A 25,773-nucleotide genomic window follows, 5' to 3' on the forward strand; every position below is an offset into this window, starting at 1 on the left:
CCTGCGTCCCCGCTCCCCAGCCAGGCGCCACCACCTGCCGCCCAGGCAGCCAGGCGACTCTTCTTTCGCGGGTCACGCGGCCTGACTCAGGCCCCTGCTCCTGTGGCCCCGAAACTCGCCGTTCGCTGGGCCTTGCGTTGCACTCGGCGTGCAGTTCCCCCTCGGCTCGCGGCCACTTGGTCCGCGCCGCCTGCGTCCTGTGTGCCGAGCCCGCCCGCACTGCGGGGACAGGCCGGGCGCCGCCCACGCCGCGCTCTGCCGGGCGCACAGTCTGCCTGGGAAGCGCGCGGCCGGGCGGGCGGCCATGGCGCGGCACGCTGGGAGGTAGCGCGGCGGCTGCAGGAGCGCACAGTCGGCCATGGCCCGGCGGCGGCGCCGCGCCTGCATCGCTCTGTTCCTGGTGCTGCTCTTCGCCTTCGGCACCCTCATGGGTCTGCGCACGCTCAAGGCTCCGGACGGACTCCCGGCGCTGGGCCCGGGCCTGGAGCTGGCGCCCTTTGAGCGACGCCCAGAGGGGGCCCCCGCGCCCGCTGCCAGGGCCCCGGCAGCCCCTGCCGCGCCGCCCCCGCCGCCGCCGCCGCCCCGCACCGCGGACCCTGGCGGCTCCCCTGGGCCGGCACCCGCGGAGGCCGAGCCCGCCCCCGTGCAGAGCCTGCGCGTCTACTCGGACCTGCACGCCTTCTACTACTCGTGGTACGGGAGCCCGCGGCGCGAGGGCCACTACATTCACTGGGACCACGTCATGGTGCCGCACTGGGACCCCAAGATCTCGGCCAGCTACCCCCGCGGCCGCCACAGCCCCCCAGACGACTTGGGCTCCAGCTTCTACCCGGAGCTGGGGCCCTACAGCTCCCGGGACCCCGAAGTGCTGCGGGAGCATATGACCCAGCTCAAGGAAGCCGCCATCGGTGAGCGCCCCCCACCCCGGGCGGCCCTGCCCCCCAGCCTCACCCTTCCTCCTTCCCACACCCCAGCTCCCTCTGGTCCTGTCACCGGCCCTTTGGTCCCACTTATCCGCCAGCCTGGCTTCTTAGCTGTTCCCTCCCACTCTCATCCTGGGCCCACCATGCGACACCGCCCCTCCGTCTAGTATTCAGACCCCCCAGCTGGGCCCTTCCATCCCTAACATCCAGGGCCCTTCCCATAGGGCGGAACTGCTAGGAGTTTGCACCAGGAGAGGGAGGCAGAGTCTTCAAATTTGTTGGGCGATGGGAAGTGAGGCCTGGAGTCCTGGCCCGCAGGTTCTGGGGTTCAGAGGAGTGGAACTTAGGGCGGCCTCTGCTTTCATGGCAGGTACAGGGTAGAGCAGCAGCCGTTCCTGCTTTTGCTGGCTGCAGAGAGGAAAGTGTGCCCGTGTTCCATGAAGGCCTCTGCTCTATTTGCAGTTGGAGGTAGTGTTGGGGGTTTAGAGGCTTTTCATCAAGCACCCAGCTGGAGGGAAGGTCCCAGGGCGCCTCCTTCGTAGGCTATGGAGGGGAGGCTCACTTATTTCGGATTTCGTCACTGAATTTTGCTGGATTTTACAGATGGCCTCTGCTCAGGGCTCTTCTCCATGCGGGACGTTAGGGTTAGGGGTGCTTCTCTTCTTCAGAGGTAGGCCTGTGGCTTCCAGGTGGGTGTGGCACTGTCCTCCCATTCCCTTTGTTCTACTACTTGCTGAGGCAGTCTAAAGCCTGGCTCCCTTCCGGCCTGGCGCGCTACGGTTCCCGCAGGCGCTCCGCTTCAGCACCGCGGGCGTGGACAGCTCCGGGGCGCGAGGCTCTGGGACTCATCTGCAGGAAGTGAACCTGGCAGGAGGCTTGCTTCAGGTTTTTAGGAACCATTTTTGCAATTGGAGATGTTTGTGAGGAAAAAAATCTCTGTTGAGGGGGGTACTGTGTGTCTCTGAAGTGGCCTCTGTGTTGCGTCTCAGGCGTCCTGGTCCTGTCCTGGTACCCACCTGGCATGGCTGATGATAACGGGGAGCCCTCAGATGACCTGGTGCCCGCCATTCTGGACACCGCCCATCAGTACAGCATCCAGGTGAGTCTCCAAGAAGAGGCCACGTGCTCTCTGCCCTATTCTGGAGAGTTGCTCTCCTCCGCCCACAGGGTTAGTGCCTCTACAGAAGTTCTTGGCAGTAGCCCAAAGGGATAACAAATATGTGGCAAGTGTGGTTTTGGGGGAGGGTTCAGATAAATGGTGCCTATGTTGCTCTTAGTTTTTTGAATTCTAAGAAAACTGAGAAAACTAAATATAGGACCAAGAGAAGACTAAATAATTATCACTTTTGTTAAATAATAATAGAGGTTAGGTTGTAAACCCTGGTGGAAAAAGGGTAGGCAAGAGCCAAAGGGACCTGCAGACTCAACTCTCTAGTGGGAGGCAGTGCTGGACCTCGAGGAGTAGGCAGGTGTTCTCAGCAGGTGGGCTCACTTTCAAGAGGAAGGACGGACTGGACGAAGCATTTCCCCACATGTGCCAATCAAGTAAGTCATCCCTTGCTTCTGTGGTGAAGGAAGAAAAATGATAGAGAAAGAAGAAAAGCCCCACTCCCCTATTCCTGAAGAGAATTCCACCACTGACATGTCTAACAGATCACAGCAGTTTTCCACTGACACAGCTTCAGCATACTTATTCCACTGTTTCAGGCAGCTAGCACCAACCACTTGGAGCTGGCACAAGGTTGAAACCTATTAGCCACCCTGTAACAGCCCACCAAAATGATTCCCACATGCCCTGCTGCGGGAGATGGGCAAACTGCTCACCCCTGTTTTGGCCTTCAAGGGCAGCAGCTGCCTTTATCTCTACTGTGCCCACCACTGCCAGGCCCTCTTCTGAACTCAGCCTCTCCTCCAGGCCATGGTTAGATCCTGAGCCTGATATGTTGTGGCCCCTAGATAGACACTCACCTGACCATTACTCCTCTGTTTGTGGCAGGTGGCCTTCCACATCCAACCCTACAAGGGCCGGGATGACATCACTGTACATGACAACATCAAGTACATCATTGACACGTAAGGCTGCTCTGGGGGCCGGGATTTTGGTGGGGATCAAAATGGAGGTAGGGATAGAAGGTTTGGAGGGGCAGGTCAAGAGACACAGGGCATAATGCCTGTGTTTCCCAGCAGCTGTTTTATAGTAAGAGAGTACTGGGCCTAAAGTCAGGCAGCCTGGGTTTCAATTCCTGTCCTGTGGCTTCTAATCTGTGATGAGGCAAGCCTCTTAACCTTTGAGTCTTGTGAGAATCACACGAATTAATATATGTGAAAGTAGCTTCTACAATGTAGGCACCTCATTTATTCATTCAGAAAGTATTGAATGAAGGCCAGGCATGGTGTAATCCCAGCACTTTGGGAGGTCGAGGCAGGCGGATCACTTGAGGTCAGGAGTTCGAGACCAGCCTGACTAACGTGGTGAAACCCCGTCTCTACTAAAAATAAAAAAATTAGCCAGGCGTGGTGGCGCACACCTGTAATCCCAGCTATTCAGGAGGCTGAGGCAGGAAAATCGCTTGAATCTGGGAGGCGGAGGTTGCAGTGAGCCGAGATTGCACCGCTGCACTCCAGCCTGGGTGACAGAGCGAGATTCCATCTCAAAAATAAATAAATAAATATTGAATGAGGCTGCGTGCAATGGCTCATGCCTGTAATGCCAGTGCTTTTTTTTTTTTTTTTCTTTTTTTGAGACAGAGTCTCACTCTGTTGCCCAGGCTGGTGTGCAGTGGCACAATCTTGGCTCACTGCAACCTCTGCCTCCTGGGTTCAAGCGATTCTCCTGCCTCAGCCTCCTGAGTAGCTGGGATTACAGGTGCCCACCACCACACCCAGCTAACTTTTGTATTTTTGTATCTTTAGCTGGGCGTGGTGATGCACAGCTATGGTCCCAGCTACTTGGGGGGCTAAGGTGAGTGGATCACTTGAGCTCAGAAGTTTGAGGTTACAGTGAACTATGATGGCACCACTGTACTCCAGCCTGGGATTTCACCATGTTGGCCAGGCTGGTCTTGAACTCCTGACTTCAGATGCTCTGCCCACTTCGACCTCCCAAAGTGTTGGGATTACAGGTGTGAACCACTGCACCCGGCCTCCCAGGGCTTTGGGAGGCAGAGGTGGGAGGATTGATTGCTTGAGGCCAGGAGTTTGAGATCAGCCTGGGCAACATAGCAAGACCCCATCTCTACTGAAAAAAAAAATTAGCTGGGCATAGCAGTGCATGCCTGTAGTAGTCCTAGCTACTTGGAAGGCAGAGGTGGGAGGATCACTTGAGCCCAGGAGTTTGAGGTTACAGTTAGCCACAATTACACCACTGCATTCCAGCTGAGAACAGAGCAAGATTCTGTCTCTTAAAAAAACAAACAAAAAAAAAGAGAGTATTGAGTGCCTACATGTGTCCAGGCACTGACTTAAGCCCAGTTGTACAGTAATGGGTAGGACTAGCGAAATTTCTGATTTCATAATGTTTACTTTCTAGTGTATGTTGCAGGTACTGTGGAGCAGACAGTAATTAAATGGGAAAAATCAAACAGTGATCTGTACAGGATTTTGTGCTAGAGTGTGCCCACGATGCTACTTAAGAATGGATAGTCAGGTCAGGTGAGTCTGAGGAGACAACAGGTGAGCTAACACCTGAATGAGCAGTCAGGGCTGGGTGTGGTGGCTCACACCTGTAATCCCAGCACTTTGGGAGGCTGAGGTGGGAGGATCACTTGAGGCCAGGAGTTTGAGACCAGCTTGGGCAACATGGGGAGACTCTATCTCTACAAATTTTTTTTTAAACATTAGCTGGGCATGGTGATGCATGCCTATTGTCCCAGCTATTTGGGGGGCTGAGGTGAGTGGATCACTTGAGCCCAGGAGTTTGAGGTTGCAGTGAGTTACGATGGCACCACTGTACTCCAGCCTGGGCGATACAGTGAGACTTAAGAATAAAAAAAAGAAAAAAGAAAAAAAAGCCCAGGCCCAGTGGCTCACACCTGTAATCCCAGCACTTTGAGAGGCTGAGGTGGGTGGATTGACTGAGGTCAGGAGTTCAAGACCAGCCTGGCCAACATGGTGAAACCCCATCTCTACTAAAAATACAAAAATTAGGCAGGTATGGTAGCGGGTGCCTGTAATTCCAGCTACTTGAGAGGCTGAGGCAGGTGAATCACTTGAACCCCAGGAGGTAGAGGTTGCAGTGAGCTGAGATCGCCCACCGCACTCCAGCTCTGAGCAACAGAGCAAGACCCTATCTCAGAAAAAAGTAGTAATAATAAGAAGAAAAAAGAAAAGAAAAAGGGTCAGCTCTGCAAAGATCCGGAGGCAGGGAGAAAATTCCAAGCAGAGGGCTGGCAGATGCAAGTCCCATAAGATGGAACAAGCTTGCATGACACATGAGAGCCGGATAGAAAGGCCAGATGGGGAGTAATAGCTGGGAAAAGAGCAGGAATGGAGTAGGCAGGGCCAGATCAAGTAGGTGGGAATAATGAATGGATTATATGGAGGCAGGATGGGAGCCTGGAGACCAGTTAGCTGGCTGTTGTTGCAATCCAGATGGAAGACGGTGGTGGCTTGGCTAAGGGTAGGGAAGTGAGGCTTAGGAATGACAACTGGAGAGAGGAAGGAGGGAACCAGGTTCTTGCTTAGAGGCATGATGACTCCAACTGTGGAGACTGACTGGCTCCAGAACTGGGCTGTGTTGCATCCGTATCTCATCCACGGGAGGTCCTACAGCTGTGCTGGTCTCTCCCATCCAGCTGAGGCTCTTCTTTCTCCTTCTCAGGTATGGCTCCCATGGTGCATTTTACCGCTATAAGAACAGCATGGGCAAGAGCCTCCCACTCTTTTATATCTACGACTCATACCTGACGTCCCCTGAGGCCTGGGCCCACCTCCTGACACCAAACGGGCCCCATTCGATCCGCAACACGCCCTACGATGGGGTCTTCATAGCGCTGCTGGTGGAGGAGGGCCACACCCACGATATCCTGGCCGCCGGATTTGACGGCATGTACACCTACTTTGCCTCCAATGGTTTCTCCTTTGGTTCTTCCCATCAGAACTGGAAAGCTGTGAAGAACTTTTGTGATGCCAACAACCTCATGTTCATCCCCAGTGTGGGGCCTGGCTACATAGACACCAGCATTCGGCCCTGGAACAACCACAATACGCGCAACAGGGTCAATGGCAAGTACTATGAGACGGCCCTGCAGGCGGCCCTGACAGTGAGGCCCGAGATCGTTTCCATTACCTCCTTCAATGAGTGGCACGAGGGCACCCAGATTGAGAAGGCCATTCCCAAGAAGACACCCACCCGCCTGTATTTGGACTACCTGCCTCACCAGCCCAGCCTGTACCTGGAGCTGACACGCCGCTGGGCGGAGCACTTCATCAAAGAGAAGGAGCAGTGGCTCATGTGAGGGGCCTGTAAATGGGCGTGAGGTGCTGATGTCCTTGCCTTGCTGGAAGATGTCACCATGTGGGGTTCAGCTGAGGTTGTAGCCACTCACTCGTTCCCAGGTCAGAGGTCAGCAGATGGGTGTTTCTGGGTGGGCCGTCAGGCATGGGCCTGTGCAACACAGAGCCCGTTCCTCAGGCGAGTGGTGCTGAGGTGCTCTGTGGTGATGGGAACGGCAGAGGCTGGCAGGTGACTGAACTTAGCCCAGGGCAGCTCCACATCCTGGGAACACTTTCATGTAACCCCTTCTAGTTTTGAACTCTGCAGCAGGCTGGTGCTGTGTAGTGGCCACCCAGTCACCACCCTTGGAAGGGTGTCAGGGTCTGGGCTCGCATGCACCCTGCTCCCTTCTGCCAGCCTGCATCCTCTCCTCAGGCCTCCTTCCCACATCATCTGTCTTCTCTAAGTTAGGGAACCATATTTGAGACTTTCAAAAAGGGAACTTCTAGGTTTAAGCTCCTCCCAGTAGATTCCTGAACCCAATTATCAGGAAATCATCCTGAGCACTCACAGGTTCATTTAACACTCACTCATCAAGCACCTTCCTATGTGCTAGGTGCTGGGGAAAACTTGACCAAGGAAGAGTTCCTGTCCTGAAGCTTCCAGGACCCAGCTTTCCTTTTCTGGTGTGGCCTTGTAGCTAGTGCCTGGGCACAGGTGTTTTTCTTTTTGCAGTTTTACCTAGTGCTGGGAGTTCAGTTCTTTTTCCTCTAGAAAAATACCTCTGTGCTCCAGAGCCTAATTTTTCCCAGATGCATATTTAGCTCTAGGGAGAGGACTAGGAGGAAATCCCCCTCCCTTTAGCTGCCTGAACTGACTGAGGCCCACTCACTAGAGCCATGTTCAGTGCTACTGTGATTAGTAGTAATTAAATATGAACTGGTATTCTCAAGTAAGCATTCCTTTTGCTCTCTTTAAGACCTCACAGATTCTGACCTTAGATTCTGTGACAAACTGATACAGGAGCTGGGCTGGCTATGGCTTTACCACAACAAGTAGGTTTGCTTAAGAAATTACTAAACAATGGCTGGGCGTGGTGGCTCACTCCTGTAATCCCAGCACTTTGGGAGGCCGAGATGGGCGGATCACGAGGTCAGGAGATCGAGACCATCCTGGCTAACAGGGTGAAACCACGTCTCTACTAAAAATACAAAAAAATTAGCCAGGCGTAGTGGTGGGCGCCTGTAGTCCCAGCTACTTGGGAGGCTGAGGCAGGAGAATGGCGTGAACCCGGGAGGCGGAGCTTGCAGTGAGCCGAGATCACGCCACTGCACTCCAGCCTGGGCGACAGAGCGAGACTCCGTCTCAAAAAAAAAAAAGTTACTAAACAAGGCTGGGCGTGGTGGCTCACACCTGTAATCCCAGCACTTTGGGAGGCCAAGGAAGGTGGATCACCTGAGGTCAGGAGTTCGAGACCAGCCTGGCCAACATGGTGAAACCCCATCCCTACTAAAAATACAAAAATTAGCTGGGCGTGGGTGCCTGTAATCCCAGCTACTTCTGAGGCTGAGGCAGGAGAACCGCTTGAACCTGGGAGGCGGAGGTTGCAGTGAGCCAATGTGGCACCACTGGACTCCAGCCTGGGCAAGAGCAAGACTGTCTCAAAACAAAAACAACAAACAAACAAACAAAAAGAAAACACAAAAAACATTACTAAACAAGATTTCTAGAGGGAATTAACAAACCAGTGCTTATTTACCAATAAACTAATACGCTAATTGCAGGAACCCTGATTAAAGCAGGCCCCTGTTAACACAAGATTCTTAGGATATACTTGGAAACAGGTGCATTGGAAACCACTGTACTGAGAAGTTTATGGGCTCAAGACTGAATTGGAAGCTAGGCGTGGTCGCTCATGCCTGTAATCCCAGCACTCTGGGAGGCTGAGGTGGAAGGATGAGTTCAGGAGTTCGAGACCAGCCTGGGCAACACAGAGAGACGTGTCTTTAAAAAAGTAAAAAATGGGCTGAGTGCCTTGGCTCATGCCTGTAATCCCAGCACTTTGGGAAGCCAAGGCGGGTGGATCACTTCAGGCCAGGAGTTCAAGAACAGCCTGACCAACATGGCAAAACTCCATCTCTACTAAAAATACCAAAAAAATTAGCAGGGTGTGGTGGTGCACACCTGTAGTCCCAGCTACTCAGGAGGCTGATGTGTGAGAATCACTTGAACCTGGGAGGCGGAGTTTGCAGCGAGCCAAGATCGTGCCACTGCACTCCAGTGTGGGCAACAGAGATTCTGTCTCAAAAAAAAAAAAAAAAGACTGAATCAGAATTTTGGGAACTAGGGTACAAGAGGGAAGGGGAGGAAGGAGGAAATAGACCCCAGTGGTCACCTCAAGGACACCCAGCCCCAGTTAGGTAACTGATATTAAGCCCCACCAGAGAGATGAGCAGGCCTGGCCACCTGGCTTTGGGGCTTAGCTGGGGAAACCAAGGCAGGCAGGGACAGCTGAAAGGGTTGGATGTTGACCTGTAGTAATTTACAGAAGGTAGCAACACTGGCTTCATTTAACACACACACAATCTGAAAAATACTAAACATGGGAAGGCCAGGGGGCAGAGGCAGCCATTCTCACACACTGCTAACAGCAGTGTAACTTGACTCAGTTCTTTTGAAGGCTAATCCATACTGAGAGCCATAAATACTTCCTACACTTTGACCTACTCTCCTAAGGAAATAATTCAAAAGAAGAAAAACAAACCATTTACAAATATGTTTAATAGCAGCATTTCTTTAAAGAAAAACAAAGTTCAAATGCCCAATAATAATTATGTTTAACACTTGGTACACATATAAATAGACAAAAGGCTGCGGAGAACACTGGATTTAAATAAAGGTGTTATGGGTATAATTAACTATAATTTATTTTATGAATAAATAAGAAAAAAGTCCCTGGCTATAAAGGATAGTGGAGGTTTATTTCCCAATATTCTTCCATTTGGACTGAACCCCTGCCAACTAAGCAGACATCCCACTATTACACCAAAAAGACTGCTCTCCCTGCGAGCAATTACAATACATGACACCACTAGGCCCAATGGCTCAGAGGGAAGAGTGGCCTGTGGCTCTTCAATCTTTATCCAAACCTGGTTCTAGCTTCAGGAGCCTTTGGTCACCTGAGACTTTTTATTTATTAATTTTTATGAGACGGAGTATTGCTATGTTGCCCAGGCTGATTCTGAACTCCTGGGCTCAAGCAGTTCTCCCGCCTGGGCCTCCCAGAATGTTGGGATTACAGGCATGAGCCACCACACGCAGCCACCTGAGACTTTTTAAACAGCACCAGCACTTCTGGCTGGTTTGAACCTTAAATGCCACCACCCACCAGAGAGGAGGCTCTCACTAGATTCTAAATCTGTTATTTAATTACTTTTCAATTGAAAAACAAAACAGACAGAAGAAACTTATTAGAATAAGGCCACCTAGGAATGTTCTTAACTTTTCCATTCAGCTTTTGGCTGATATATGAAAATACAAATAAATACATCCTTTCCCCAGGTGCAAGGCTAAACCAGCAGCTCCAAGGGCTTGGTCTACAGTGCTCAGAAAGACACACTGCCTTAAAAGTCAGGCTAGTGCCCTAGCTCCGGTGGCCTCTGCAAATGAGGCCTTGACAGTCGTCAGTGGACAGACACATAGTATCCAGCACCAGGTCTTGGGCCTTCCTGCTTCCCAGAGTTTCACAGGTAGGACGCATGTGAGGGGAGCAGTCCGTACTTCTGTTGGAGGATGGCTGTAGTACTTTCCAGGGCACTGAGGAGGAAACAGGACAGTTACCAGTCTGACTTCTCAGAAGTCCCGAGCCCACCAGAGGCTGGTGAGCAGGGACATCGAAACTGGCTAGCCTTGTTAAGCCCTGTTCATCAACCCTTGATGAAACCTTTTGAATCCTAAGAAAGCCAGGAAACTTAGTCCCACTGCAACTACCACTTCTCCAAACCTGGCCCACACTCCTTCAGGGCAACATAGGAGGCACCATCTTTATCTTGTCAAAGCTTTTTTGCATCTCTCCAACCTCCCTCAAATTATTTCCCCACACCACAGGAAAGAGACTTACCAGCCTGGACGAATGATGCCAAACTTTCCGGGCACAGACAAATCAACCACAGTTGAGCCAAGGCGACACTCGGGGCTCTGGCCATCCCCAATTTGTCCCCCATCAATAACCAAGGACAACTGAGGCCAGAGATCCTGGAACTCCTGAGAAGAGGGAGAAGGAAGAGCATGGACACTATCCCTGGTGTATCCAATAATGTCAAACTGCACGCAGTCATCAAAGGCCATATAGTCTTAAAACAGAAGGCACTTTCCTCTAAGCAGAGAAAGGAGCTTCATTTAGTTAAGGTCAACTGTGCCAAAGACACTGTATTCTATGAGGTTTGGAGGCCTCCTGGGTTAGCACTCCAAGTAACACCTATCTAGGGTTTAAAGAAAATCTTGCTATGTCAAAAGGAAATTTCACACATTGCTTCAGTTAGGGAAATATAAGTACAATGAATGGAGTTCTGGGCAGAGATACGGGCTATAACTCTAGACTTTCCATCGTATCTCCGTGTGACTGCATGCAAGTTACTCTATCCAGGCCTACAAGACAAGTGGGCTGGACTAGATGATCCTATGTCCTCATTTCATTTGTTCTAATCTATGTAGCCAAGACAGGACTAGGATGATCTTTTCTTTGACCTGGCTTGCCGCAAAGATAAGAGAACAGGGTCAAGAGTCAAAAACTAGGTAAAAAGACCAGGCATGGTGGCTCACGCCTGTAATCTCAGCACTTTGGGAGGCTGGATCTCTTGAGGCCAGGAGTTTGAGACTAGCCTGGTCAACATAGTGAAACCCCATCTCTACTAAAAATACAAAAATTAGCCGGGCATGGTGGCACACGCCTGTAATCCCAGCTACTCACTCGGGAGGCTGAGGCAGGAGAACTGTTTGAACCCGGGAGATGGAGGTTGCAGTGAGCTGAGATGGTGCCACTGCACTCCAGCCTGGGCAAGAGAGTGAGACTGTCTCAAACAAAACAAAACAAAAAAAAACTAGGTAAAAATCTGGTCACTTAATGGCTGCGTAACCTGGAACAAGTGATTCCAGCTCCTTCTAGCTCTAGAACTATGCTCCTGGATCTCACTGCGACTCTGATCAGGGTAGGAAGAGTAGAACATGGTAGATTCTGCATGCCACCAGCACTCAGTCTTTGGGCTATGAGAAGGATACTCCCCCTAGAGCAGTGGACTGAATTGTTAACTGAGCTAGAGCTTCCCCAACCCCCCAAGGAAGACACTGCAGTGGCAGTTAGGCCTGGAAATCTGGGACAGGAAATCATAAATACCAGTTACTGTGTTGGACAGGTCAAATGATTGCTGACAAGGTAAAAACCTCCCCTCCCTGTGCCACATCCCGATTCTTGCTCCTGGGGTACAGCCACCAGGACCAAGTCAAACCTGCACTCTGAGAATGGGAAGGGATGCTGAACTCTCACTTTCTAAGAACCCTGAGCCCCACTCTAGGTCTGGGAATGGAAAACCCATCGAATGGAGTTCTGAGCAGGGATACGGGCTCTAACTCTGGACTTTCCATCGTATCTCTATGTGACTGCACGCAAGTTACTCTATCCAGGCTTATTAGCTGGATGTAATAAGCCCAAGGAAGGCCCAAGGCCTGATGCTGGATACTATGTGTGATACTATGTGTCTGGCCGAGTCTGGGGACACAATGTAGCTTATTACTACGTTTTACATCTTAGTAATAAGAAAAAAAACGAAATTTCTATGTGTCCTCCTTTGTTCTAATCTATGTAGCCAAGAAAGGATTAGGATGATCCTTTCTTTGATCTGGCTTGTGGCAGAGATAAGAGAACAGGGGCGAGAATCAAAAACTGGTTAAAAATCTGAGTCAGTCACTTAATGGCTGTGTGACCTGGAACAAGTGATTTAACTTTCTGGAGGCTAAACTTCATCTTTTTTTTTTTTTTTAAGAGACAGAGTCTCGCTCTAGAGCCCTGCCTGGAGTACAGTGGCACAATCTGAGCTCACTGTAACCTCTGCCTCCCAGGTTCAAGTGATTCTCCTGCCTCAGCCTCCCAAGTAGCTGGGATTACAGGCATGCGCCACCATGTCTGGCTAATCTTTGTATTTTTTATTAGAGATGGAGTTTTGCCATGTTAGCCAGGCTGGTCTCAAACTCCTGACCTCACATGATCCACCTGCTTGGGCCTCCCAAAGTGCTGGGGTCACAGGCATGAGCCACTGCCCTTGGCCTTCTTCATCTTTCTTTACAGCACTGTCGTGAAGATTTATAGCCTAACTGTGTTCTCCAGAAACTGTTATCTCCAGAAAAACAGGAAGACATTGTTCTTATAATCTTTCCTATTATTATAAAGACTGAAGAAAAGACCAATTCTCCCCCTGGCTTTTCAGACTTTGAGATAAAATCTTTCAAATTTTTTTAATTTATATTGCCCCCCACCACCTCCCTGCCAGCTGGGCAACCTTCCCACTGTTGGCCCAAGAACTCTCATGCCTGGCCATCCCAGTGTACTATCAATGCCACTGATTCACAGAAAACAGTATGTGCGCTGGTGACATTTCCAGGGGAAGGACTGGGTAAACTCACCTCGACATTCAGAGAACTGGCCTGGGAGCTGAGGTTGGCACTAGTGAGAGCAAGCGGACCCTCAAACATCTGAGCCAAGTCTTGCATAAAAGCATGATCAGGAATCCGAATGCCTACAAGCTGTAAGGCAAGGGGAAAGGGATCATGAGAAAGGTTGGAAGGGATAAGAGGGTAAGTCTTATCTGGATCCTAGTGAAAGCCAAGTGGCCTGGAGTCTGGGGACACAAGAGAAAACTTGACTCACAGGCGTAAAAGGGTTTAGGTCCTTGTTGAGCTCCTCCGAGCGTTCCATCACCAGGGTCACTGGTCCTGGCAGTAGGTCTTTCAGGAGCCCCTCAGGTACTCTCACACGGCAGTATCTGGGAAACACAGAAGAATAAATCCATTCAAAATTGAAGGGCCACTGGTGGTCCTTTCCTAGACTCTAGGCAGACGTAGAAAAGGAATCCTTCGAGTTTACAATGGGAGCCGCCTGTCTCCCTGCTTCACCTCCCTAAGAGCTTGAGCAGAAAGCAGGGCTCCAGAGGCGCACCCCTGGCTTGACGCCCATGTGCCTCTGGTCTCAGGGACTACAACAGCTGCACCGCTGTGATATCATGATAGTGGGATCAAGCTCCACGTTTTATTTTCTTCAAGGCATTCGCTATTAAATTAAGCTACTGTGTTTGTTTGCTTTTTTCCCGGGGGCCTCCCCAATTAGCACAAATACGCCAAGGGAACAGGGTCCCTGCCTTTCTCGTGTGTTGCTGCTTCCCAGCAGCATGTAGTTCAGGGCCCGGGGCACGTTAAGTCCTCGGTACATATTTCCAGTTCCGGATTCCTTGGTGAGCCTGGACAAGCCCCTCCCGCTCTCTGCGCCTCAGTCTCCCAAGCCTGTCACCGGAAACCCCTCCCGCGGTGCCGCCCCTAGCGGGGCCGGGTCGGGGCGGCCTTACCTGTAGACGTCGGCCACGCGGCCGAGGCATACGGCCAGAGGCTTGGCCTCGCTGCGACCCTTGAGGCGGTACACAGCGCGCAGAGCCGCCGAGCAGCTCGCCGCGCAGGCCAGGCCGTACAGCGTATCGGTGGGGACGGCCACCACGGCGCCGGCGCGCAGCTCGGCCACGGCGGCCCGCAGCGCCTCGGTCCAGCCGGCGCGCTCCGGGCTCGCGGCCTGCACGGCCCCGCTCCCCGGGAGCCGCAACAGCCGGGCGCCGGGGGCCGCCGGAGCGGGACTCGGCGGGCGGAAGAGGCGACCGCTCCGGGAGCCAGCAGGCCCCTCGCTCAACCCCACGCTGGCAGCCACCGCGGCCCTCATCCCCCTGCACCGACGCGCCGGAGACATCCGCCCAGGCCCGCTTCCGGGAGGAAGTGACGCTCCCAGCCAGCTTCCGGTCCAGGAGACTCGGCCCCGCCTCTGCGCCGGGCAGCTTAAAGGGACCACGACCCCCAGGAGGATTGAAGGAGACCGGTGGGGACGGGGCGGGGCGCAGCCTTGCGAAGCCCTAACGCAGCGCTGGGGAGGGGGGCGGCCGAAAGGGGGGCGGTGGTCGGGCCGCGCAAGCGGAGATGGAATGGGGCCCGGGCTCAGACTGGTCACGGGGGTGAGAGGGGGCCCGTCGGGGCGGGAGGAAGGGGCTTGGCCCCGCGCAAGCGCCGGCCCTGACCGTCTGTCTCTCGCTCTCTCCCGGGCAGGGAGGCTGCCGGCGTGGACCGCGGGAAGGCGGGGCTGGGGCTCGGCGGGAGGCCACCCCCACAGCCGCCCCGGGAGGAGCGCGCCCAGCAGCTGCTGGACGCGGTGGAGCAGCGGCAGCGGCAGCTCCTGGACACCATCGCAGCCTGCGAGGAGATGTTACGGCAGCTGGGCCGCCGGCGCCCGGAGCCGGCTGGTGGCGGGGTTAGTGCCCACCCTGGGCTGGGCTGGGGTGGGGTGGGGTCTGCCCACTGGCTAGGCTGGCCAAGCCCTAGCTTACCCTGGAGGGGGGAAGTATGTCTCCGCCGCTTTATCCCTAACCTCCTTTGATCTGGTGAGAGGTTTCGAAAAAGTTAATACTATCCAAATGCCAAATGGCCACATCCTTGTGGGGCCTAATCCAAGGCCTTGCCTCCCAGCCTCACTTTTTTCCTTTCTGTTCCAACTAGAACGTCTCAGCCAAACCTGGAGCGCCCCCCCAGCCGGCTGTCTCCGCCAGAGGCGGCTTTCCAAAGGATGCTGGCGATGGAGCTGCGGAGCCCTGACCATCCCCGAGCAGAATACCCTGACTTCTCTCCCTCCCCAGGGCCGGTGGCTGGACTCTGAACAACTCCCTTCAGTAAAGGGGCCAGTCTTCACTGGCAGTGGCTGGTACTTGGCTCTCAGCCTGGAGTGGCAGCTCTGCTAGCAGCTGGGTTCACTCCCACTTCATCCTGGCTGAAAGCAGTGCTGTGCTTTGAAATGCAGCCAATGAATACCCAGTCTGATTACCCAGATTTGGGCAGACCAGCAGTGCTCGCCAGAGTGGTCTGGCCTGCTATGGGGGATCCAGGTGGTGTTACATGTCCATTTCATGTTTTGGGGGCTTTTAGCCCCACAAAACACCTTCAGTAGAGCCTTGATTAAAAGGAAACCTGCAGACTCTCCTGGTGACCGACGTTTCCTTTCTGTCCCCTCTCCAAGACTGATGGCTGGGAAGGGGGGAGTGGTGGAAAAATGTCAACTATGGGCAGGGTTGGTAAGAAATGCCACAGATACTACCAGATTTAAATAAGCATTTAATTAGGATTTCATTAGTATTTAATATTGCTTTTTCAATTCCAAAAAGTTAAATTTTCACTTTTTAGCAGATATTTTAAAGTACAATATTAAGTTTATACAAAATGAGCAATTAAGCAAACACCATTATTTCACATTCTTCAAAAATACAAATTCATATTTATTCTTTTTTGGGTTTGGAGGTTTCTTCCTTTGGAAGTACTGAACCTGTAACGTTTTCACATCGCTCAGTGGAAGTCCGTTGTTCCCATGTTTCACACTTACTTTTACATAATCCAAATAAAACTATTTGGGATTTTAAAAGTTGTCACCAAGACCCCGGCCAATGATTAGTGTATGTCAAAAAAAAGGGCTCTTGGGGGCTCTTGCCTTTCCTGGCTAGAAGATCTGAGCCAGAAATTCAGCAAAAATCTGTTTCCAGCCACCCTCCCCAAATAGGGACTAGAAAGAGTTCACAGGAAAAGGGAACAGACACCTTGAACTCTGACCCCCACCCCCACATTCTCCAAAACACAACGAAGGATGTAGACTGTTGAGTCAAATAGCCCTTGGGAGGCCTGAGAACACAGCAGGAAAAGGGCAAGAGAAAGCCTCTGACTTGGCACACTACGAGGATAACAAGGATATTGCAAAAAACACCCCTGGGTTTTGGTGCAAAAAGGTTTTATGAAAAATTTTCCCATAAGAAAAAGTAGAAACTGCATTGAGCTGAGAAAGTGACACTACATTATCACCCAATTTTTGGCCCAACAGGCACACCACCAAAAGGGCAGTGTGTGGTTTTAAACCTCAATTCCAGTAAAAAAGCTTGTACTATGTACACATTGACATAAAGATCCAGTTTAATTTGCATTTTTCAGTGCAGACTGAGAAGCCCTCTCTTGAACAGGAGTAACAGTGAGAAATGCCCAGTGGTCGTCGGCTTCCCCAAAGGGCATCAGAAGAAATACAGGACTGTTTCCCTCTCTCCCTAAAAAACATGCAAGAGGAAACAGGCCAAAATGGCTAACCAATCAGAAATATGCTTCAGTTTTGTTGCCTCCACCCCCAAATATTAAGGAACAGACAATTTCTGATCTATGTCACAGCAGAACTATTTGCATATTGGATCTATGAAAATCCTTCTGCTTTGGCTGAAGTATATTCTAAAACTTGTCTATTCTATAGCCTGAGAATTGAAGATAAAATGGGGGAGGTGGAGTAAAGGAAGAAAGTTGATAATGATTCATGGGATGTAATGTTTGTTTATAGGATTTAATGAAGGCTGGAGGCCTTTTTGCTTAAGGAACCAACACAGGTAGTATGGGGAGCAGTATGGAAATGGCTCATGTTGCCCCCTGCCACCCATGCCTCCCCAAACATATTTCTGATTGGTGGTGTAAGACAATTGTAAACTCTTGAGAAATATTGTTGCAGTTCCACAAATCAATGGTTTCAATCACTCTGGAAAAGTCTTTAAGGACAATGGATGTGATTACAAATATAAAAGTCTAGAAGGTGCCAGGTTTCTACCTAGGAACAATCTGTTCCTTCCTTTCAGGCATCATTTTGTAATGGTGAAGAGGGAAAAGATGGCGAGAGACCAAGAAGTGATGAAAAAGGGCCTCAACAGTCAGCAGAAAACAGGACCCACAGCAGTTCTTCAGAGAGCCTGAGGGGGCGCCCTGGGGCACACAGGGAAGGCTTGCATAGATTGAGCGGTTGCTGAGAATGCATAATAGTGTTTCCCTATGGACAGTCTCACAGCACAGGGCTGATTGAGCGGAAAAACGCTGCCAGGCCAGGGCCACATGGGACAACGACCATCAAGCTACACATATTGCACCAAGGTAAGTGCTTTTCTTTTCACACCTCAATTTAACTTTTTATTCTGAGCAAAAAATAAAACTTTGTGGAAAGTATATATATGTATATATACACACAAAAGAAATTGCAGCAATCGGGTTAAAGATAAAATAACCTAAAGTGCTTTTTTATTTTATTATTTCTTTAATATACCAATATGAGGTTCTGCAAACTTGTCCCTCTGGACACATTCAGCATTATACAAAGTCTCTCAGGAAAACCCACCCACCCTCCAATATCCCCATCAGTCCACAGCCTTGACCCTGAAAATAAAACTCTCCGATCTACCAACTATCCCAGAGGTGAAGAAGAGAAGCCCCTTGCCTTTTACTCAGAGAGATCTTCACATCTTAAGGCCCCTCCTGGGCTTTGTACCATGATCTCCTTCTAAACGGAGGTGGAATTCAATAAATGACACCACTTCTGTCACCAAACTGGTGGTGCCCCCATGAGACTGGCCAGACCCTGCCAGCAAAGACTGGGCCACCTTCCCTCAATGCCCAACCTACCTGCCTGGGAAGGGCCAAGTTCACTAAGGCAGTTTGGTGGTGCCAGCCAGTTTCCTTACCACCTCCTAAGTCCATGAACCCCAATCCCTGGTGCTAAGCACCCTTTGAAGCGGTTGTCTAATTGGAGATGTTAGTAGGAGCTAGAAGATAACGTACAGGGTGAAAATGGTTAAGTTTACTATGGGAGGGGAAAAAGGCTTGATTTTTACCTGCTAGAATTCTACAAATCCTCCCTAACCTCACCCTAGGTTCATTTCCCAAGTTTGGGAAACCACACTCACCATGAAGGTTCTTTCTGGCTCCAGCTTAGCTAGGGGCCCTCTCTTCTCCAAGGTCCTCGGCACTAGAGACCAGGCTTATGGAAGGACAGGTAGGAAAAGAGAACTGGAAAAGGAGGGAAAGAAAGACTGCCTATCCTGGGAAATAAACCTGATCTTCACAACCACTCACTGGCATTTTAAGCACATTCCTGATTTTTCAAAAGCTGATTGGATCTGATAGTCTCTCTTGTAATCTAGAGTCACCCTCAAAAGGCAGATACTTCAGCTTCTTCAACTGGAAAAATCTGTCAGCCTAAACACTGTTTAAGATGCTGCTTCGTCACCCCCGATCTTTGAGAGTGAAAAGGCCACTGACCTGGGTAGGGCCCAACATGAGCACAGCCCTGGCTAACCAAGAAGAGTCGCTATTTAAACTGTGGGTGCTTCAGATGTCCTTCCCTGGGCTCCTATTTCCCACTTCCGCCCCAGGGAACCCAAATCCCAGGTGACCACAGGATGGGGATATGGGAAGGTCATTACTGCCCTCTGATACAAGCTTACTTTGGGGTCCCATCACTACTCTCTCAGAAGTTGTAAACAGCAAGGGCCCTACCTCAAAACTTCCCATGGGTGCGAGGCCCAGAGACAGCCAAGGACAACTCATGCTCAGCAGTTGGTTTTCCAGGAGGACTGGAAACCTCCTGCCTTATCAACTTCTGCTGAGGTCAATGGTCAACAGAAGCCACAATCCTTTTGGGGAAGGGAGTGCAGAAGGTCAAAAAGAAGTCAATTCCCTAGACCAGGCATGGTGGCTCACACCTGTAATCCCAGCACTTTGGGAGACTGAGGCGGGAGGATCACCTGACGTTGGGAGTTCGAGACCAGCCTGACCAACATGGAGAAACCCCGTCTCTACTAAAAATACAAAATTAGCCAGGCGTGGTGGCGCATGCCTGTAATCCCAGCTACTCGGGAGGCTGAGGCAGAATTGCTTGAACCTGGGAAGTGGAGGTTGCGGTGAGCCAAGATTGCGCCACTGCACTCCAGCCAGGGCAACAAAAGCAAAACTCTGTCTCAAAAAAAAAAAGAAGTCAATTATTCTGGCTAGGGTCCTGGAATGAGAAATTGGCTGCTTGTAGTTAAGATTTCTTACTGCCATTTCTCCTCATGGCAGTAACAACATTCACCACCACTGCCCTCTTTGTCTGTCCCTGAACATCCTTGCTAAAGGCAGGGAGGGCCTCTGGCTCCAAGGTAAATTATCTGTTCTCAATAATATCTTGGCTGGCCCTGAGCAATGGCTCAGAGAACAGGAGAGTGACCAATGCAGATCCCTTTACATTAGGGAATGAAAATGCAAGGCAAAATTATGGCTGCTTCCTGCCTGACACTGTTGGCTTAGAAGAGCAGCCTTGTTTGTGGAACACCACTCCTTGCTCAGGGCAAGGAAAGGGCTCTTGGGAGGCAGAGGCCTATTCTGCACCTCAGGCCATGCCTGGCCTCTGAGCTCGGTGAGTTTGGTCAGCACTCATGACTATGTTAATATAGCCTGTTGAGGGAAACTTTTCATGCTAGTATGGATTGTATCTTTTATTTTAAGAGGCAATGACTTGGAGCCAAAGGCAGACATATGGATATAATTCTATAACACACACACACAATTTTTTCCTATAACACAACTTAATGAAACATTCCAAATGAGATAACTTATTGCAACATTTCAGGCTTTTTGGTGGAAAGGGAATTTTTTTGTTTTGCTATACCCTGAGTAGAAGATCATCGTTTTGTGTTTCTTTTTTTTTTTTTTTTAAATAAATCACATGACTAAGCTGAGCAAGTCACATCCTTGTTTGCACTGTATGAGGCTGTATGCAAAATCCAGAGGGGGGCAGAGATGGAGGGGGCAACCCAAAGCCTGGCTGGAACCTGGAACCAGGACACCTGGCCTGCCAATTACATGCCACCTCATATGAATTCCCTTAAATCTGCACCTTCTTCTGATAAGCAAAATGCAGCCCTTCTGCTCTGAGGAAGAAAATACCATTAAAAAGAAGGCAGACCACCAAACAGCACTGGCCATAAGCCACAAGTTCACTCTAGGACAAAACAGCGATGTTCCCCAAGGAAAATTCACTGCGATCTGCAAGCCCTGGCAACCAACCGAGAGAAAGAACCAGGAAGGCAAGGACAGTGATCATGTTGCTAGAGCCTGCTTTGCACACACGTCATCAACAGACAGCAGTCAACAAGCTGCCTAGGGCCTCTGCAGAGCCAGATCAACCCCACAGCCTGTGAGCCAGGCCTTAAGCTGCCTATTTGTGCTGAAGCGGGCTGCAGAACGACCCGTGTTATCCACCCTGAGCACCACCAACACTAAGCACAAATGACAACACCATCTCACCTGAACCCTGTCCAACTCACAGCTGCCTCACTGGCCTTTGCCACTGCCCTCTCTGATGGAGCAAGGGTCTGGCCTTCCAAGCAAATGTCAGCCTCAGATTCAAAAGACACATAGGAAGGAGCAACACCCAACACACTGAAAACTCCTGCCCGATCCACAAAGACCCCAGTGCAAGCGATGGGCAGCATCAGATTGATGGAAACCACACCCTTTCATTTAGAATTTTTATGCACACGAGTAACCTTAGTTTCCAAGTTCACATGACAACAAGCAAAAGTGACATACAGTGCAGCCAAACAGTTCACTTATAACTTAGCTTTTTTTGTTGTTTTTTTTGTTTTTTGTTTTTTTCCAAAGAATAGTTCCTTAAAATGGATGCTCCTGGGATGTGAATAAAGAAAATACGTCTGAAAGGTGAGGATTTCAAACAGTAGATTTCTTCATCCTTCAAATTTCTGACCCATGATGGCAGGCATTGTACCTCATGCCTCCTGCTCACCCGCTTTTCCCAGAGGTGAGCACACATGGGCCCTTCACTTGGAGAAGCTGCTGGTGAGGCCCATCTCCTCCTCCCCCTGCAGTAGTGCTTCAATGGGAATCAGATTGGACGGGGTGTCCAGGCTCTGGAGGGATAGAAACTCTGACACATCCATGGCACTTAATGTTTCTGTCTGAGGGTCTGAAGGAGTCTCTGCTTGTCGGCTTTGCTCACAGGAGGAGGGCAAGGTAGAGGATGATGACCCGGGAACAGGGGCTGAAGAGAAAGTCTGCGCTGGGAGCTGCAGGCTGGGCCCATCAGGAGCCTGGGGGCTCGGCTCTGGAGGGGGTGGGGAGGAGCAGCCCTTTCTCCTGCTGGATGCCCGCTCCTTTGCAGAGTCCCGGCATGCACACTGACACTGACATGCCTCTTCTTGTTTGATGATGATCACAGGAACACTGAGGCCAATCTGCTGGACAGAGCTCCCTGCGAGAGAGGCAAGAGAGACTGCTCTTCAAGTAGCTGCAGGGGCAGGAGCATGAGGGACAGGGATACATGGACTAGGTGAGAGCAGAGTGCCATGGGAACCATGGGAAGGATGGTTGCCACACTTCGGGCTTCGTTCTGCTTTAAATTGGACCACATGCCCTCTGAGGTAAAAGAGGGACACTCCCCAGCCCGAGACAAAGTCCCGTTTCCTTAGAAAGTCACACACACGATCTAGATGCACCCTGTATTTCCAGCTTCATTTCCAGTCATTCTCCATTGCACCCTCCCTGTGGAGGCCTACTTTTCCTGACACGTTCTTTATACCCCTGGGCCTGTGGGCTCTTCCTTACGACTAAAATCCCTGGACACCTCTCTTCTGGAGAACTGACACTCATCTTTCAAGACCTAGCTCACTCCCCCACTCTCTGTAGGCCTATGCAGAGGACTAGCTTGGATGAAGCCGGTACCCAGCCTCCCGGCACACATGCACAGTGCTGCTGTTTTCCTTCCACACCTCTCTCCTTGCGGTACAGGACCTGCTTGGTTCTGCCTGCCCAGGAGACTCTGAGCTCCTTTAGGACATCTTACTCATCTCTCTTTCTCTCATGTGTTGTACGAACACTTGCTCCATATTCAGCCAGGCTTTGTGTGTCTTGACAGAGCTAAAGACCAATGGGCAGGATGAGGTGCAGTGGCTCATGCCTGTATGTAATCCCTGTACTTTGGGAGACTGAGAAGGGAGGATTCTCTTGAGCCCAGGTGTTTGAGACCAGCCTGGCCAATATAGTGAGACTCTGTCTCTACACATAATAAAGAAAAATTAGGCCGGGCGTGGTGGCTCATGCCTATAATCCCAGCACTTTGGGAGGCCAAGGTGGGCAGATCACTTGATGTCAGGAGTTTGAGACCAGCCTGGCCAACATGGTGAAACCTTGTCTCTACTAAAAATACAAAAATTAGCTGGGCATAGTGTTGAATGCCTGTAATCCCAGCTACTTGGGAGACTGAGACATGAGAATCACTTGAACCTAGGAGGCAGGGGTTGCAGTGAGCCGGGATTGCGCCACTGCAGTCCAGCCTGGGCAACAGAACGTGACTCCATCTCAAAAAAAAAAAAAAAAAGAAAGAAAAAAAAGAAAATTAGCCAGGCATGGTGGTGGAGCATGCCTATGGTCCCAGCTACTTGGGGGGCTGAGGCAAGAGGATTGCCTGAACTCAGGAGGCCCAGGCTGCAGTGAGCTGTGATCGTGCCACCATACTGCAGCCTGGGTGACAGTGAGACCTTGTCTCAAAAACAAAACAAAACAAAGGCCAGTGGGCAGGAGAACAGGGTGGGAACGGGGAGGCCTGACAACTAGTGCTTTGGTTCCACCACAGATTCACTTACAACCTTGGGGGAGTCAATTAATTTTTCTGGGTCCCAGTGTCTTAATCTATAAAATAAAGAATTTGAATAAAAGGAACTTTCAGCTCTATATGTGTCTCTGACCCAGATGCTATTTCTTCATTACTGTAATTAGAAAAGAGTCCAGTGAATTAACAACTGCCCTCTTTAGCATTAGCTGTGATTCAAAAATTTTTTTCTGGCTACATTTTAAAGCTGTATCTGAAAGGGAAAGAACTGTTACTAGTTAAAGAATGTTAAACACGGTATTTTGGCCAGACGTATACTAACTTCTAATAGTTGTGAGAATATGAAATACTCTAGCCAACAATACAATGTGAAGAATTTAACTGAGGCTGTTTAAAGATTTTTAAAGTTTTAGAAACTGGGACAAAGCAATAATTAGCTGTGCCTCAAGGGACCCACAGAGTTGCCTTCTCTTAAGGCTAACATGGAATTACATACCTGGGCTACTGGCTACTGGTACTGCAGTGGTAAAAAACACCTTCTCAACTTTAGATGCTTGCTGCTGAAAAAAGAAAAAGAAATCTCATTTATAGCCACTGTAATATGGCAGATCCCCAGGGACCTGAAGCCTCACCAACTGTAATGGTCATCCAAGAAGACAGAAAACCCTTAGTGTTCAGGGATTTTTGTACTGAGTGATGTTTTGTTTGTGCTCTGACATGAGGTCACTGCACTGTTTGACATTCAGTGCTGACAACGTAGTTAGCTTTGTACGCCACTAGTTGGCTGGCTCCCAGCTGCCTAATCCAGTAGGTTCTGTATCCAAAGGCTCCTCCTCCTCCAAGGTTGCTTTTCTCAAGCAGATTGTCTTCTCAGAGGGATCCCAGGGCTAGCTTTCCTTCAGGCTCTCCACATTCCCTGCTGCCCCCTAGTACTTCTAAGAAAGCTGGAAAGTTCTTTTTTTCCCCCTCAGAGATTAAGCTGCATGCCAAGGACAGGTTAAGGCTTCCTCTCACAGGTAGACAGCCCTGTAAAGGCCTTGTGCTGTAAGGTGCACAGCATAGTTCAAGGGTGGGCCCTGGATTCAGCCACACTTGGATTCAAGTCCAAGCTCTGCCACTTATTAGTTGTTGGTGTTGGGCATGTGATTTAACTTCTTAAGAGTCTTGTTTCCCCACCTGTAAAAACAGGAATAATAACTACTATGGATGGAGTATCTGTCCCCTCCAAAACTCATGTTGAAAGTTAATCCCCAGTGTGGCAGTATTGAGAGGCTGGGTTTTTAAGAGGTGACTGGGTCATGAATGAATTAATTCACTCATGGATTAATGAGTTATCATGGGAGTGGGACTGGTGGCTTTATAAGAAGAGTAAGAGAAGGAGGGTGTGGTGGTACATGCCTATAGTCCCAGCTATTTGGAAGACTGAAGGAGGATCACCTGAGCCCAGGAGTTCAAGGCCAGCCCAGCCTGGAACATAGTGAAATTCTCTCTCTTAAAAAAGGCCAGGCGCAGTGGCTCACGCCTGTAATCCCAGCACTTTGGGAAGCCGAGGCGGGTGAATCACAAGGTCAGGAGATCGAGACCATCCTAGCTAACATAGTGAAACTCCATCTCTACTAAAAATACAAAAAATTAGCCGGGCATGGTGGCGGGCGCCTGTAGTCCCAGCTAATCGGGAGGCTGAGGCAGGAGAATGGTGTGAACCCGGGTGGTGGAGCTTGCAGTGAGCCGAGATCGCGCCACTGCACTCCAGCCTAGGTGACAGAGCGAGACTCCATCTCAAAAAAAAAGGCCAGGTGTGGTGGCTCACGCCTGTAATCCCAGCACTATGGGAGGCCGAGGCGGGCAGATCACGAGGTCAGGAGATCGAGACCATCCTGGCTAATACGGTGAAACCCCATCTCTACTAAAAATACAAAAATTAGACGGGTGTGGTGGCGGGTGCCTGTAATCCCAGCTACTCGGGAGGCTGAGGCAAGAGAATGGTGTGAACCTGGGAGGCGGAGGTTGCAGTGAGCCGAGATCGCACCACTGCACTCCAGCCTGGACAACAGAGTGAGACTCCGTGTCAAAACAAAAAAAAAAAAATGAAGAGGAAGAGAGGCCCGAGCTAGGATGTTCAACCCCTCGCCATGTGATGCCCTGTGCTGCCTCAGGACTCTGCAGAGGGTCCACACCAGGAGGGCGGCCCTCCAGATGTGGCCTCTCAACTTCGGACTTCTCAGCCTCCATAAATGTAAGAAATAAATGTATTTTCTTTATCAATTACCCAGTTTGGGGTATTCTGTTATAAGCAACAGAAAATGGACTAAGACAATAACCAAAAACCTCTTCAAAGGCCTCTGTGAGGATGAAATGAGATGATGCACGTAGGACACTTGGCACATGGTGAACATTCAGTAAACATTCATTATTTAAGACCGGGCGCGGTGGCTCACGCCTGTAATCCCAGCACTTTGGGAGGCCAAAGCGGGCGGATCACCTGAGGTCAGGAGTTCCAGAACATTATTTATATTATTACTAAGTAGGACTATAAACCTATGCCCAGAAAATCACCCTTTTCGCTCTAGTATACTTCCTATTACATGGGCTAAAAGGTTTCCACTTTCTTGAAGTCTTATCTTGAGGCAGCTTTGTCTTTTATCTCGCTAAAAAGGAAATTTAAAATTGCCTCT

General features: G+C 50.4%; 4 protein-coding genes across 12 annotated transcripts in view, besides 3 other annotated features; 2 read left to right on the forward strand and 2 right to left on the reverse strand.

Moving 5' to 3' along the window:
* On the forward strand, positions 23-7,309 carry MANEAL (mannosidase endo-alpha like). Of its 4 annotated transcripts, none has more exons than NM_001113482.2 (4): positions 23-908; positions 1,913-2,022; positions 2,920-2,996; positions 5,743-7,309. In NM_001113482.2, the coding sequence occupies exons 1-4, from the start codon at positions 359-361 to the stop codon at positions 6,377-6,379; spliced, it is 1,374 nt and encodes a 457-aa protein (NP_001106954.1). In that variant the 5' UTR covers positions 23-358; the 3' UTR covers positions 6,380-7,309. The 4 variants fall into 4 exon arrangements, with proteins under 4 accessions (NP_001106954.1, NP_001026910.1, XP_005270567.1 ...); NM_001031740.3 differs by having other exon boundaries at positions 6,020-7,309; XM_005270510.4 differs by lacking the exon at positions 2,920-2,996 and having other exon boundaries at positions 6,020-7,309.
* Positions 240-359: a silencer, noted in NCBI's record as "silent region_679". NCBI's record gives its function as "represses an Ori minimal core promoter by ATAC-STARR-seq in GM12878 lymphoblastoid cells {active_cell/tissue: GM12878}" and the evidence as "EXISTENCE:reporter gene assay evidence [ECO:0000049][PMID:35858748]".
* Positions 7,310-9,120: 1,811 nt separating the features above from the next.
* On the reverse strand, positions 9,121-14,384 carry YRDC (yrdC N6-threonylcarbamoyltransferase domain containing). The gene is made up of 5 exons (NM_024640.4): positions 13,968-14,384; positions 13,277-13,391; positions 13,033-13,152; positions 10,478-10,620; positions 9,121-10,173 (listed from the first exon to the last, which is right to left on the reverse strand). Exons 1-5 carry the CDS (start codon positions 14,354-14,356, stop codon positions 10,101-10,103), a joined length of 840 nt encoding a protein of 279 aa, NP_078916.3. The 5' UTR covers positions 14,357-14,384; the 3' UTR covers positions 9,121-10,100.
* C1orf122 (chromosome 1 open reading frame 122) lies at positions 13,966-15,630 on the forward strand. 2 transcript variants are annotated; one of them, NM_198446.3, is made up of 3 exons: positions 13,966-14,615; positions 14,707-14,908; positions 15,154-15,630. In NM_198446.3, the coding sequence occupies exons 1-3, from the start codon at positions 14,581-14,583 to the stop codon at positions 15,247-15,249; spliced, it is 333 nt and encodes a 110-aa protein (NP_940848.2). In that variant the 5' UTR covers positions 13,966-14,580; the 3' UTR covers positions 15,250-15,630. The 2 variants fall into 2 exon arrangements, with proteins under 2 accessions (NP_940848.2, NP_001136198.1); NM_001142726.2 differs by having other exon boundaries at positions 13,966-14,482.
* Positions 14,034-14,293: a silencer, noted in NCBI's record as "silent region_680". NCBI's record gives its function as "represses an Ori minimal core promoter by ATAC-STARR-seq in GM12878 lymphoblastoid cells {active_cell/tissue: GM12878}" and the evidence as "EXISTENCE:reporter gene assay evidence [ECO:0000049][PMID:35858748]".
* Positions 14,474-15,023: a silencer, noted in NCBI's record as "silent region_681". NCBI's record gives its function as "represses an Ori minimal core promoter by ATAC-STARR-seq in GM12878 lymphoblastoid cells {active_cell/tissue: GM12878}" and the evidence as "EXISTENCE:reporter gene assay evidence [ECO:0000049][PMID:35858748]".
* Positions 15,631-15,749: 119 nt separating the features above from the next.
* Positions 15,750-25,773, reverse strand: part of MTF1 (metal regulatory transcription factor 1) — a 50,019-nt gene continuing 39,995 nt past the window's right edge. For 4 of the 5 annotated variants that reach the window (NM_005955.3, XM_047421170.1, XM_011541491.3 and 1 more), the window contains 2 exons: positions 23,595-23,658; positions 15,750-21,742 (listed from right to left, as the gene is read on the reverse strand). In NM_005955.3, the coding sequence (NP_005946.2) occupies positions 21,312-21,742; positions 23,595-23,658 (495 nt within the window). In that variant the 3' untranslated portion in view covers positions 15,750-21,311. Of the gene's footprint in view, positions 21,743-23,594; positions 24,275-25,773 lie in introns of those variants that run through there. The other variant, XM_011541493.4, reaches the window with a different exon arrangement.

This window comes from Homo sapiens, chromosome 1 (genome assembly GCF_000001405.40).
Source record: "Homo sapiens chromosome 1, GRCh38.p14 Primary Assembly".
NCBI classification, from domain to species: domain Eukaryota; kingdom Metazoa; phylum Chordata; class Mammalia; order Primates; family Hominidae; genus Homo; species Homo sapiens.

Coding starts and splice junctions, on each gene's coding strand:
- MANEAL (NM_001113482.2), top strand. CDS start 359: ATGGCCCGGCGGCGGCGCCGCGCCTGCATCGCTCTGTTCCTGGTGCTG. Junction 909..1,912: donor GCTCAAGGAAGCCGCCATCG/GTGAGCGCCCCC, acceptor GTTGCGTCTCAG/GCGTCCTGGTCCTGTCCTGG. Junction 2,023..2,919: donor CCCATCAGTACAGCATCCAG/GTGAGTCTCCAA, acceptor TGTTTGTGGCAG/GTGGCCTTCCACATCCAACC.
- YRDC (NM_024640.4), bottom strand. CDS start 14,356: ATGTCTCCGGCGCGTCGGTGCAGGGGGATGAGGGCCGCGGTGGCTGCC. Junction 13,153..13,276: donor ACCTAAACCCTTTTACGCCT/GTGAGTCAAGTT, acceptor CTTGCCTTACAG/CTTGTAGGCATTCGGATTCC. Junction 10,174..10,477: donor GGCATCATTCGTCCAGGCTG/GTAAGTCTCTTT, acceptor TTTCCTCCTCAG/TGCCCTGGAAAGTACTACAG.
- C1orf122 (NM_198446.3), top strand. CDS start 14,581: ATGGAATGGGGCCCGGGCTCAGACTGGTCACGGGG. Junction 14,616..14,706: donor GGCTCAGACTGGTCACGGGG/GTGAGAGGGGGC, acceptor TCTCCCGGGCAG/GGAGGCTGCCGGCGTGGACC. Junction 14,909..15,153: donor CGGAGCCGGCTGGTGGCGGG/GTTAGTGCCCAC, acceptor TGTTCCAACTAG/AACGTCTCAGCCAAACCTGG.